General features: G+C 41.6%; 1 protein-coding gene across 12 annotated transcripts in view; it reads right to left on the reverse strand.

Annotated features, from left to right (window-relative positions):
• Positions 1–12,553, reverse strand: part of TGFBR3 (transforming growth factor beta receptor 3) — a 225,660-nt gene that overhangs the window by 16,574 nt on the left and 196,533 nt on the right. For all 12 annotated transcript variants that reach the window (NR_036634.2, NM_001195684.1, XM_047429247.1 and 9 more), the window contains 2 exons: positions 11,747–11,867; positions 1,173–1,214 (listed from right to left, as the gene is read on the reverse strand). Coding sequence is in view for 11 of the 12 variants with exons in the window: in NM_001195684.1 (NP_001182613.1) it covers positions 1,173–1,214; positions 11,747–11,867 (163 nt within the window). In the remaining variant the exon portion in view is untranslated. The remainder of the gene's footprint in view (positions 1–1,172; positions 1,215–11,746; positions 11,868–12,553) is intronic.

Below are 12,553 nucleotides of genomic sequence, written 5' to 3' on the forward strand. Positions count from 1 at the left end.
TGTGGTGGAACAAGTCTGGAAGGATCCGAACTCCCAAGTTCTGGTCCCCACTCTTCTAGACCTGTGCTCTTTGGTGTGTTCATTTACCTTCTGAAAAATGCGGATAGCTTTAGTCACCTGCTGAAGTCAGGTGGAGGAAGAGGTGGGAAGAGCTCCCTGGAGGTGAAGTTGAACCGAGCCATCAACCTATTTAATCTAGTCCTTAAAACTGATATTAGAAGATGATTTGCCTTTTTATACCCACAGATGCAAAAATTGAACATGATTACAAGTTTTTAATGAAACTATTCTAAATCTCCAAAGATAGATATGTGTCCATATGTGCCTCTGTTTGAGTTCATATTGTTCCATAATTTAAAAAAAATAATCCACTTAAGACAATGGTTTATGAAGTGCTTTGTGAAAGGAACTTTCCAGACTGATTGTTAAATGTAGTGAATCAGCCACGGAGACTAATCCTGGGAATCTTAGGAAAGGAAAAAAAGCACAGATTCACAAATTCTCCTCACAAGACAACATTATCTAGAAGAGCTCTGGGTGGACAGCTGGGAAGTCCAGGTTGAAGTCCTGCCTCAATGCCAATGAGGCAGGAATATTTCTGGGTCAGCATTTTCTTCTGCATAAAATAATGAAATTGGCCTAGACAATTTCCAAGTCCTTATTCTGCAGCAATTGGTGTTGCTTTCTCTTTCATTCTTACATGCTCTTCCTGGGGCCCCCAGCCCTTGCACTACGGATTGTCTTGAAAGTATAGCAATGAGTTCCCTTAGCATTACGCCTCTGAGCAGATAAATATTGTTGATAAGACTTAAAGCAAACCACTTCCATGGCTGTATGTGAATTCTTGCAGGTTAGAGCAGACATAAGCATGCAAGTCATTAACTTGTCTCTCTAAATAAGTTACTACCTTCCCATTCAAGCCATACATGCCAATGGATCAACAAATTAATATTTTAAAGTGGTAAAGGTGAAAGGGAAAAAGAAAGCAGGGATAAACAAAGGACAGAGGAAAGGAAAAAATATGAGCAAAAAGGGGAAAGGGGAAGGGGGAAGGGGGAATGAGAGCAGAAGTCTCCTTATCAAAACTCAAAGTTTGGCAAATGTTCACTAACCAACTCATTCTTAGGAAAGCCCAGGAGGTTTTATTTCGAAATAGTTGCATAAAGACTTACGTGGAGAAATTGGATTTGGTTCCTTCATGCTTGGACCTTTTTCTGAAACAAAAACATAAATCACAATGTATTCTATGGAGAACCAAGATTTAAGCAAAGGGTCATCAAAGTCTCAGCAGAAACTGACACTTTTCCATTTGGTAATAAATACTGTGAGAAAGCTCTGTCAATGATCCTCTTTAGATATCAAAACTATAATGAGTTACCCAGAAATTTTAAGCATTGCATTTTGTTGACAATCAGTTGCATAGGCTCTCCAATTTGAAGAAAATTTGAAGGCAAACACCTAAACTTAGGGAATTTGGGTCCGACAATTTGTGTGTGTGTTTGTGTATATCTTTTTATTTACTTACAAAAAAATTCAATACCTTTAAGTACCATGCTTTTCCAGTGTAGTCTAATATTATTCTGCTTTCAAAATATTCTTTTTTTTTTTTTTTTTTTGAGGGTCTCACTTTGTTGCTCAGGCTGGAGGGCAGTGGCGCCCTCAGCTCACTGCAGCCTCCGCCTCCCAGGCAATCCTTCCATTTTAGCCTCCCGAGTAGCTGGAACTACAAGCATGTGCCACCACACCAGCTAATTTTTATATTTCTTGTAAAGACAGGATTTCACCACATTGCCCTGGCTGGTCTCTAACTCATGGGCTCAAGCAATCCATCCATCTGCCTCGACCTCCCAAAGGCCGAGGGACTATAGGCGCGAGCCACTGCGCCCAGCCTTCAAAATATTCTTTTAATTTAATATACACATTTTCTAAAAGTATCTTTGTTCTCCTAGCCTTAGTGCTATTATCCTATAGTTTAACTCCCCTTCATTGCTCATCAGGATTATCACAGAGGCCCCCTTATCTCCACCACTACCCTCCCCCCAATTATTTCCTCCTCCACATTTGCCCCCAGAGTGAATATTCTAGAGCCCAGAGCTGATCATGTTATAACCCTGACTAAACCCCTTGATGACTCTCCTTCCTTTATAGGGAAAAAAATCCACACTCTTTAACATGGCACACAAAGTTCTCCCTCCCTTCTCTATCCTCTCTCTCCAGCCTCCTTTCCTGATGGAGTCCTTCACCCATGGTGGGCTCCCCATACTTAGTAATTTAAGCTTCCCAAATTCTCTATGCTGCTCTTTGTCATCATGCTTTGCAAGCCATCCCAAGACACCCTCCTCCCCAGACCTGCTTTGTTGGCATTTTCTCTGGGGGACCTTTGCTGAGTCTCCCACTGTTCCATCTCCATCCCAGCAGAGCTAGTCTCTCCCACCCTTGCTCATTCCATCCCTCCTCTGTTACACTTGGGCCACAATACCTCCTAGTTCTCTCTCTCTTTTTCTCTTTCTTTTGCTTTTTTTTTTTTTTTTTTTTTTTGCTGTGAGGGCAAGGTCTAGTTCTCAGTCATCTGTATATCCCCAAGGGCTCAGACTGGCATAGAATAGGTCTTCCAGAAATGTTTGGTGAAGGATGATTAAAATGTTAATGTACTTTTTGCAAATGGAGGCCACAGAGGAAACCAGCAATCAGACTATGAAGACGTTCATATGCAGTTTGCACCAGTGCCATGAAGAAGGCAGAAAAAAATTTTGTATCACTGTTTTGGAAATGAGCAGCCTGAGACTCTGATATCGTGTGACTAGAGCCCAAGGTCACAGCTGGAAAGCATCAGGGCAGAAGTTGAATCAGAATTCCAGAGTTCTGCCTAGCAGGCTAAATGACTGGTGAGCGTAGCTCTGTCCCTAGCTGGGGAAGCACTGATGAAGTAACTATTTGTGCACAGCTACTCATTATCCTCAGCAGTGAGGCTGAGACCAGCGGTTGAGATATTATGGTCCACCACCTATTTTTGTATGGCCCATGAGCTAAGAATGAATTTTATATTTTGAAATGATTTTTTAAAAATCAAAAAAGGATATTTCATGACGTGAAAATTATATGAAATTCAAATTGACTCCATAAATGAAGTTTTATATGGATGCAGCTATGCTTATTTACATACTGTCTATGGCTGCTTTCATGCTGTAACAGCAGCGTTGAGTTGTTGAGACAGGGATTGTATGAGCCACAAATAAAAAATAATCACTATCTGGTCCCTTACAGAAAAAGTGTGCTGAGTCCTGCTACAGACCTTGACCCTACTCTTTGGAGTTTAAAAGTGATACATGTTTAGCACCTCTCTTTTCATCTCCATTTTCATTCACCACAGAAGGAACACACACCTTATGTCTGAATTCACAGGGAAGCAAAAAGAACTTGGGAAAATGTGACCCAAACAAGCAGCATCTGAATTGATGTCTATAAAAATAAAGAAGCTAGACAGGATAAAAGAAAACAGAATTGTAAATTCTCAGGATTAACCATCTCCGATGGGTGGGTCAACATTCTGGCCACATGAGTTATCAATGTCTGGCTCTAGGGGAAGGAATGCTACTGGATGAATCAGAGCCACCACAATTGAATGGTGCCCCCTGGAGTTGTGCAACATAGTGGCCCTGGAATGAGGATATATGCAAAAGTATACTTAAATACAATTACTAAGAAAATAAAAATGATTGTATGTTTTTAAGAAAATCTAATTCAGTATGCAGAACACACACTAATTACGCTAACTACAGAATGCACTACCCTGGGAGCTGGGTCCCATCAGCCTCATTGGCACCAATAACAACAATGATGCCTTACATTTGTACATTTGTATGGTGTTTTGCAATAGACAAAAAGCCTTCGGCCTTCACTTATATTGTCTCATTTTAAACTCCCAAGAACTCTATGAAGGAAGAGTATCTACCCACAAACTTCTCCTTTCAAGACGTAGTATTTGATTCCCTGAACTAAGTTCAAAGGCATTTAAAGGTTGCTACAAGATGCATCATGTAAGAAATATACACACTTCTGGGAATAATTCCATCCAATCAACCACCCATGGTTAAACTTTCTCACTCAGAATCCCCAAGCGGTTGAAAAATTATGACTCTCTCCTAAGGAGACCTCCCATGTAAGAGTTTAAGTTTTATAGTAAGGCCTGTGTGATGGATGGCATTGTTTTAAAATTCTTAATGGATTTCTGTTATGATCTAATCCTTTACCCCCACCCCAAATAGGAGCCTTCTCACAGAGCTAAACAGAAACAGTTGTTGTTCATTTCCCCTGGGTGAAGTCTCTTCGTGATTTCTGAGCACAAACAATAACAAGCAGAAGCTGCAGAACTGAGGTTAAAGAATTCTATCCTCGAACTTTTCTCTTCCCGAATCCCTAAGAACCCCTGAGTATAACTAAAATGGCTTGATCTCCACCGGAACCCTACCATCGAGTTGGCATGCTGAGAGGAAAAGAGTGGACTCAACAATATTTACTTTTGGTTTAAGGATAAGATTAAGATTATAAGAAAGGAATCTTAGCTATTGCTGTAAAGAGAACTGTAACAATAAAGATTTCTTTACAGAAAGGACAAACTATAATCAATGTTCTGAATTAAATCTTTTCATATACGCTGAGCAAATTTTGGTCTACCTCTAGAACCAAAATTCCCCTCTTCAGATTGTTCAGCATGGTTTTCATAAACGGGATATTTCTGGGGTTATGCATGAGTAACTGACCACAGCTTTTGGCCTTTAGTGCTCAATTTGGTACTAGGCACCATAGGACGGAGTGGGCCCACAGTGAAACAAGACGTCCAACTGGTACCCACATCTATTGGCATTTGGCAAAGAGAAGAATGGGGAGAGGAAGATTCCTCCTGGAGACTCAGGAGGTCTTTGTGCAGGCCCCATTTAAGACAGAGTTTTTACTAACTTAACGTCACTGTAACTGAACCCTTTTTCTGGATTCTTTCAATATTTATGATATTCATTGCAATTACTTGTTCACTTATCTGTATCCTGCCACTAGACCAGTGTGTCTCACGTGGTGGGTGATTTTTATTCCAGGGGACATTTGGAAACGTCTAGAGACATTTTGAATGGTTACAACTGGGCTGGTGGTGGGAGGGTGTTGCTACTAGCATGTAGTGGGTAGAGACCAGGGACACTGCTTAACATCCTGTAACACACAGGCAGCCCCCCAACTACAAAGGGTATTCCAGCCCAAACACTGATTGTACTGAGATTGAGAAACTTTGCACTAGGCTGTAAAGGCCTTAAAGACAAGATAATTTGTCCACTATACACCTACCATATTTTTTTGAATAAATAACCACAAATATCACGTATATTTTATTCTTGAGTACTTTCCCCAGCAATGCAACCTTCACACCATTTTCAGAGTAGCCTTCCTAAATGACCTAATCGCCGGGCGCGGTGGCTCACACCTGTAATCCCAGCACTTTGGGAGGCCGAGACGGGCGGATCACAAGGTCAGGAGATCAAGACCATCCTGGCTAACACTGTGAAACCCCGTCTCTACTAAAAATACAAAAAATAAAATAAAATAAAATAAAAATAAATGACCTAATCATCAGTTTCCTGCTTGAGATCTTCTGATGGTTCTTAACTTTTAGAGGTACATACTGGAATATGTATGGATGAAATTAAATTAAATGTCTGGGTTTCCTTCAAAACAATCCAGTGGATGACAGAAAGTGATAAAACAAGATTCACCATAAATTGGCAATTGTTGAGACTTATTCTATTTTTGTATATATTTGAAATTTTTCAAAATAAAAAGGTTTTAAAATGTAAAATACTGGCCGGGAGCGGTGGCTCAGGCCTGTAATCCCAGCACTTTGGGAAGCCGATGCAGGCAGATCACCTGAGGTCAGGAGTTTGAGACAAGCCTGGCCAACATGGTGAAACCCTGTATCTATTAAAAATACAAAAATTAGCTGGGCGTGGTGGCAGGCACCTATAATCCCAGCTACTTAGGAGGCTGAGGCAGGAGAATCACTTGAACCCAGGAGGCGGAGGTTGCAGTGAGCCGAGATTGCGCCACTGCACTCCAGCCTGGGTGACAGAATGAAACTCCTTCTCAAAATTAAATAAATAAATAATGTAAAATACACGATGTTAAAAAAAAAAATATGATATCCCTCCTTCCCTTCTTGGATAGAGAATGAATGCCCTGGTCTGTCAATTAAGCATTTCTACCATCTTTCCACTCAGTTTCCCCTCACCTCGACCTCAGCTCGAGGACAAAACCTGGCTGGTCCTTTAGAGTATTTTTATTCTGGAAAGATCAAATGTGTTCCAAAAAGTAATGCCTCTCTTGGATCAACTTCCAACTGACGTTCACAACTTTCCCTTCCTCAACCCTCCCTTCCCAAAAAACCTCTAGTTTGCTGAGAGGTTGAGAGGAAGGGGAGGAAATTAACATTTACTGAGTATCCAAGATATGCAGGCATTTTTATTTTTTAAAGTTAGGTGGTGAAAATACGGAGAAAATTCAGTATCTCAAACATTTAACTTGCTAAGAATTAAACACATCTATAGGTATGTAAATCACGGCAAATTTTGGAATGATATTTATTGCTCCTGATGACATCCACATCCATGCTCTTCTGTGTATGTGCACTGTTTCAGAGAAATGGTTACTCCTCTCTTTCACAATTTAAAAAAAATCATCACCGACGTGGTGTAATCATTTTTACTGTATAAGCCCAAGTGTTCTCAAATGCTGTAAAAAGCGGTCACAGAATCCAAGGCAAACAGCACTAATATGCCTATACTTCAAAATTTCAGAAAATAGGGTAGGATGGCACCACCTCAACTATTTTAAATGTTTTGTCATAAACCATAATATGCATAAACTATTTATGTTCTCTGGGCTTTCTGAGTTACTACTGAAAATCACAGAACTTCTCCTGAACTTTAATACTCTGCTAAACAGGTTACACATTTCCCAACATCTTAATCCTTTGGGTGAACAGACATTTTTCCTAAAATCCTTCATCTTCCTTTTAGTTCATAATCATTAGGGTATTTGGGGTGTTACCTTGAATACTAATGTGATATGGTATGAAAAGGGAGAAGAGGGCCAGGTGCAGTGGCTCATGCCTATAATCCCAGCACTTTGGGAGGCCGAGGTGGATGGATCATCTCAGGTCAGGAGTTCAAGACCAGCCTGTGCAACATGGTGAAACCCCATCTCTACTAAAAATACAAGAATTAGCTGGGTGTGGTGGCAGGTGCCTGTAATCCTAGCTACTCGGGAGGCTGAGGCAGGAGAAGCGCTTGAACCCAGGAGGTGGAGGTTGCAGTGAGCCGAGATTGCGCCACTGCACTCCAGTCTGGGTGACAGAGTGAGACTTTGTCTCAAAAAAAAAAAAAAAAGAAAGAAAGAAAGAAAGAAAAGGGAGAAGTGGGGCAGGAAGAGGGGTGTGAAGACATAGATGCACATGATTCTAGTTTTCAGTAAAAACTAGAATCAACCTCCATCTGGAATAAGGCATAGGGTTTAAGAGCACAGGCTCTGGAATCACAGTGCCTGAATTTGAATCCCAGATCCACCATTTATATGTTGTGTGCCCTTGGCCAAGTTATCACTATACAGAGGTGCTATGAGGATAAAATATAATAATCCACATAAAGCATTTAGCACAGAGCCTTGCACAAAGTAAATGCTCAACAAATGTTAGATCATCATCCTCATCTCCATCACTATCATCACCATCAGCTTTAAACTTTCATCTATTGTTAAAAATTTAAATGGTAAAAGAACGCTAACCCAACACTGATTCCCAAGGGACTTAGAGATCAAAAGTGGCAAAGATGTGCTCAGGAAGGTTCCATTAAAAACAGTGGCCCAGAGGAGGAATCCAGAAACATTTTTATAGTCTTGATTGCCTACTTTCCTGTCCACAGAAGAAACACTAAAGTATGTCAATGCTATTGGCAGTGGTGGCCACAGAGCAGCTCTCTGCCCAGCTGTGAAGTTGCCAACCAGAGCCTTTATCTGCTGTCCCAGAAAATCCAAGTGTTGAAAAATAAGATGAACCAAATGACCAGAGAGAGCTGGAGTTTTGGCATGGCCTTCAAAGAGCACCTGTGTAGTAAAAGCACAGTGAAGCGTCCCATTGGTTAGGAAATTTTTACCCAAAAAGTCACAGATTCTACAATAAAGAGACATAAAGCTGTCTGACAGGAAGGACATTCGTGACCTGTTATTATTCAAATAAACCAATGCAATTAGGCAAATGGTCACAGTCTCTTTTCTTTTTTTTTTTTTTTTTGAGACAGAGTTTTGCTCTGTCCCCCAGGCTGGAGTACAGTGGCGCGATCTTGGCTCACTGCAACCTCTGCTTCCCAGGTTTAGGCAATTCTCTGCCTCAGCCTAAAGAGTAGCTGGGATTACAGGCGTGTGCCATGACGCCTGGCTAATTTTTTTGGTTTTTTTTTTAGGTAGAGACAGGGTTTCACCATGTTGGCCAGGCTGGTCTTGAACTCCTGACCTTGTGATCCACTCGCCTCGGCCTCCCAAAGTGCTGGGATTACAGGCGTGAGCCACTGCGCCCAGCCCACAGTCTCTTTTCAAATGACTATTCCAATTCACCTTGAGGCAGAAAGCACAGACTCCAGTGGTCTGCATTGAGGATAAATGATTTAGAGTCAAAAGAAAATAAACTTAAAAGGTGAGAGGAGTCACACACAGCTGAAACCTGCCAGAAAACTTACCCCAGTAAGCGCAAAGTTAGAAAGCAAATTTGCATACAGCCCCTGGGAAGCTGGCCTACAGTTTAACCGCCTCAATTTATTTAACAAACCTAAGTAATAAACTTTCTTCACCCACATGCTTCTCAACTAAAATCTAGTCTCAATTAGCAAATCTCATAAAATTGCTTTGATATTTGGTAAAACTTTCCTCTTGAACTTTTATACAAGAAAACATTGAACTTTCAGTACAATTATACTAAGTTTAAATAAAAGTAATTACCTAATTTGCAAGAGAAATTACTTAGAAAAATGTCACCAGGCTCAAAAGAAGAATGGATGAATTGCTGGAAGTTATACTGCGGCAATATTAATGCCTAATTATTGTCTGGCATGGGAAAAAGCAAGCCGCTGCCTTCAATTACTAGCAGAATTACCTCTCTCAAAATAGTTACGAGTAACAGATGGAATCCGAGGTAGCTGCTCTTATTGTTAAATTATCAGAGACATTTGAACCAGAGCAACTCTACCTTGAATAGGGCTGGGTAAAATGAGGCCGAGGCCTATTGTGCTGCATTCCCAGGAGTTTAGGCATTCTCAGTCACAGGATGGGAGAGAAGGTCACAAGATACAGGTCATAAAGACCCCGCTGATAAAGCAGGATGCAGTAAAGAAGCCAGCCGAAACTGGCCAAAAACCACCAAAACCAAGATGGCAATGACAGTGACCTCTGGTTGTCCTCACTGCTCATTATACACTAAGTATAATACATTAGCATGCTAAAAGACACTCTCACCAGCACCATGACAGTTGACAAATGTCATAGCAAAGCCTAGAGGTTACCCTATATGGTCTAAAAAGGGGAGGAACCCTAGTTCCGGGAATTGCCTGCCCCTTTCTAGGACAGCTCATGAATTACCCACCCCTTGTTTAGCATATGATCAACAAATAACCATAAAAATAGCAACCAGCAGCCTCTGGGGCTGCTCTGTCTATGGAGTAGCCATTCTTTTGTTTCTTTACGTCTCTAATAAACTTGCTTTCACTTTACTCTGTGGACTCATCCCCAAATTCTTTCTTGGGTGAAATCTAAGAACCCTCTATTGGGGTCTGAATTGGGACTCCTTTCTGGTAACAAAATCACTTTCATAGTACAAAATGGAGCCAGCTGCTGCCCAATTGTGATTACTCTGCAACACAATTTATATTCTTATTTCTTTCTCCTGAACCCAATAAAAAGGAACTATTTGGACCATCCATTTATATAAAGACTGGGTCTATTATAACTTTCAAATGGTTGAAAACCAATCAATAAAAGTAAAACAAACAACAACAAAAATGTTGCCGAGAACATCTCATGTACACTTCACAACAACTTTAGGACGGCCAGAAAAATGAATTAAAGATTATTTTGCTTCTTCAAACAGCATAGTTGAGTATTACAACTGAAAGGACCTTTTGGAAGTCACCCAGTCCAAACCTCTCCTTTCCAGATAGAGAAAATGAAACCCAAAGAGCTGGTGGTAGGGGGGTTCTCCAATGTCCCACAGCCAGTTAGCAGAGAAAGCTAAAAGCAGTGCCTTAGGCTCCCAGCTCCAATCCAGTGTGCCTGCCACCTATACTCTTCTGCCATTTTGAGGGAGCACATTCATTCATAGGAAGGGGGCAGATGCCACCACCAGATACACAATTGGAATGGCACAGCTGTTTTCACAGAGGTTAGTCAACCAATAAGACACTAGACAGTACCTGCATGCCTCTGTTCTGGTAGGTTCTGCCCACTGTCCAGGGGTCACCCCTGCTGCCTAGTCTTGCCAAATCCCAATCCAACATGCTCAGATCAGGAATGCCATCCCAGGGCCACACCAAACCCTAGATCTGGTGTCAGCACCACCCAGCAGGCCTTCCAGCTAATACCCTGAAACTGGAGCCAGACAGTGTGCTGGCTTTTGTCAAGGCCCTTGGTGCCCAGGCTCCTCTGTGCCCCTCAGAGTGGCGAGAGGCAGCCTGTAGCTCTAATCCTGAAATATCTAACCCCGCTTGGAATCCACTTTCACTCTCCCAGCCTTCTCTCAGTTTGACACCCTTAGATATCAATGTTACTAGATGGTGACAACTGTAATTGCCTAGATATCCCATGTGACATTTGGTTCCACCCCTCAGATGCTGACAGCTGCCTGGTGTGTCCTTGCTTGTTTATAACCCTTGGAGCTGTGATGCGGGTCCTTGTCAGATGCTCTTCTCACCGCCCACAGGGCCTCATATCCACTCCTAACATTTGTTAGGGCCCAGTTCTGCCTCTCTACTGCTCTGGCTGGCCAGACCCATGCCAGGTCTGGCTCTGCCCTGCCTGTCCTCTCAGGTACTGATGCCACACCCCTTAGGGCACAGCCTTCCTTTTCTCACAGAAGATACAGCTTGCTGAATGTTCCTGCTTGTGGAGAAAGAGGCATGCTTGGCTCCAAGCAACAAATGTGATTGTGCAAAATTCTGAAAACTGAATTTTAAGATGCATTTGGGCAGTGGTTCTCATCTGTTACACCTAAGATGAATAATGTTCACATATTCTCAAAGGCATTTGCAATTTTGATAAAGCAATACAATAGGTTATAGCCAGCATAAACTTTAGCAGTAGATCACAGAAAGATGAACTGTGGATTGTGTGCAATTCCCGGGACATGGGACTAACTAGAACCCTTTTTTGCATACTCAAGGAAGCATATTTGAATGCAAGGGAGAGTGACCTTATGACAGGAACAACCTAGACCTGATTCTTTTTACAGAGGAAATCATTTTCAAATAGATTACTTACAACTAAGCCATAATGGCTGTAAGAGAACCAGCTAAAGAAAAGACTCTTCGGGCAAAAAATGGTCTTCTAAAGTAACTAACTGGCCCTTTAGTTATCTTGTGAATAAAGCTGGACTTTGATTTACACTATTGGGTCTTCTTAACAAGCAGAGCTCAGGCCCCATGCTCTGATCGTGCCTCCCAAAGCACACCTTTAGATTCTGCTTCATGGTGGATCACAGCAAGGGGCTTAGTGAACGTCTTCTTATTCTGCATCATGGCCCAGATTATCGAGGCGTCCAGCGAGGTGCAGGCTTCGTCAGGAGGCACACACTGCAGACAGGCAGAACAAAGCACAGAATCAGGGGCCACTCAAAAGTGCCTTCACCAGCTCTACCTGCACAGCTGTCCTGTGGCCTTTTATCAGACAGCACACAGCTGTTCACTACAGAAAAGCAAGAAGGTGGGTGTTTTTCAGAGAACACCAAATAACCTGGGAGATATGACAGCAGGCCCAGTGGATTTTTGGTTGTACCTGAAGATGCAAATATCACTGGATAGCTTCTCAATATTGTCCTCCCCCTCCCCTTCTTCTCACAAAACTAAACATTTTAGTGTTAGTTTGAAAAACAGAAAAACTATATGCCTAGTGTTGGTCCTCACCAAGCTGGGCTTCATATACACGGTTCATGTTTGTGATTGGTGATTGTGGGAAATTTCCCATAAAGACGCTCCTCAACTTATGATGAGGTTACATCTTGACAAACCCACTGTAAACTGAAAATATCACTAAGTTGAAAATGTGTTTAATACACCTAAAGTACCGAACAACACAGCTTAGTCCAGCCTACTTTAAACATGCTCAGAACACTTACGTTAACCTACAGCTGGAAAAATCATGTAACACAAAGCTTATTTCATAACAAAGTGTTGAATAGCTCACATAATTTATTGAATACTTAGATTGAAAAACAGAATGGTTGTATGGGGACTGTCTATACTGCATTATGAAGGTGACA

The sequence above is a fragment of the Homo sapiens genome, chromosome 1, assembly GCF_000001405.40.
Source record: "Homo sapiens chromosome 1, GRCh38.p14 Primary Assembly".
NCBI lineage: Eukaryota > Metazoa > Chordata > Mammalia > Primates > Hominidae > Homo > Homo sapiens.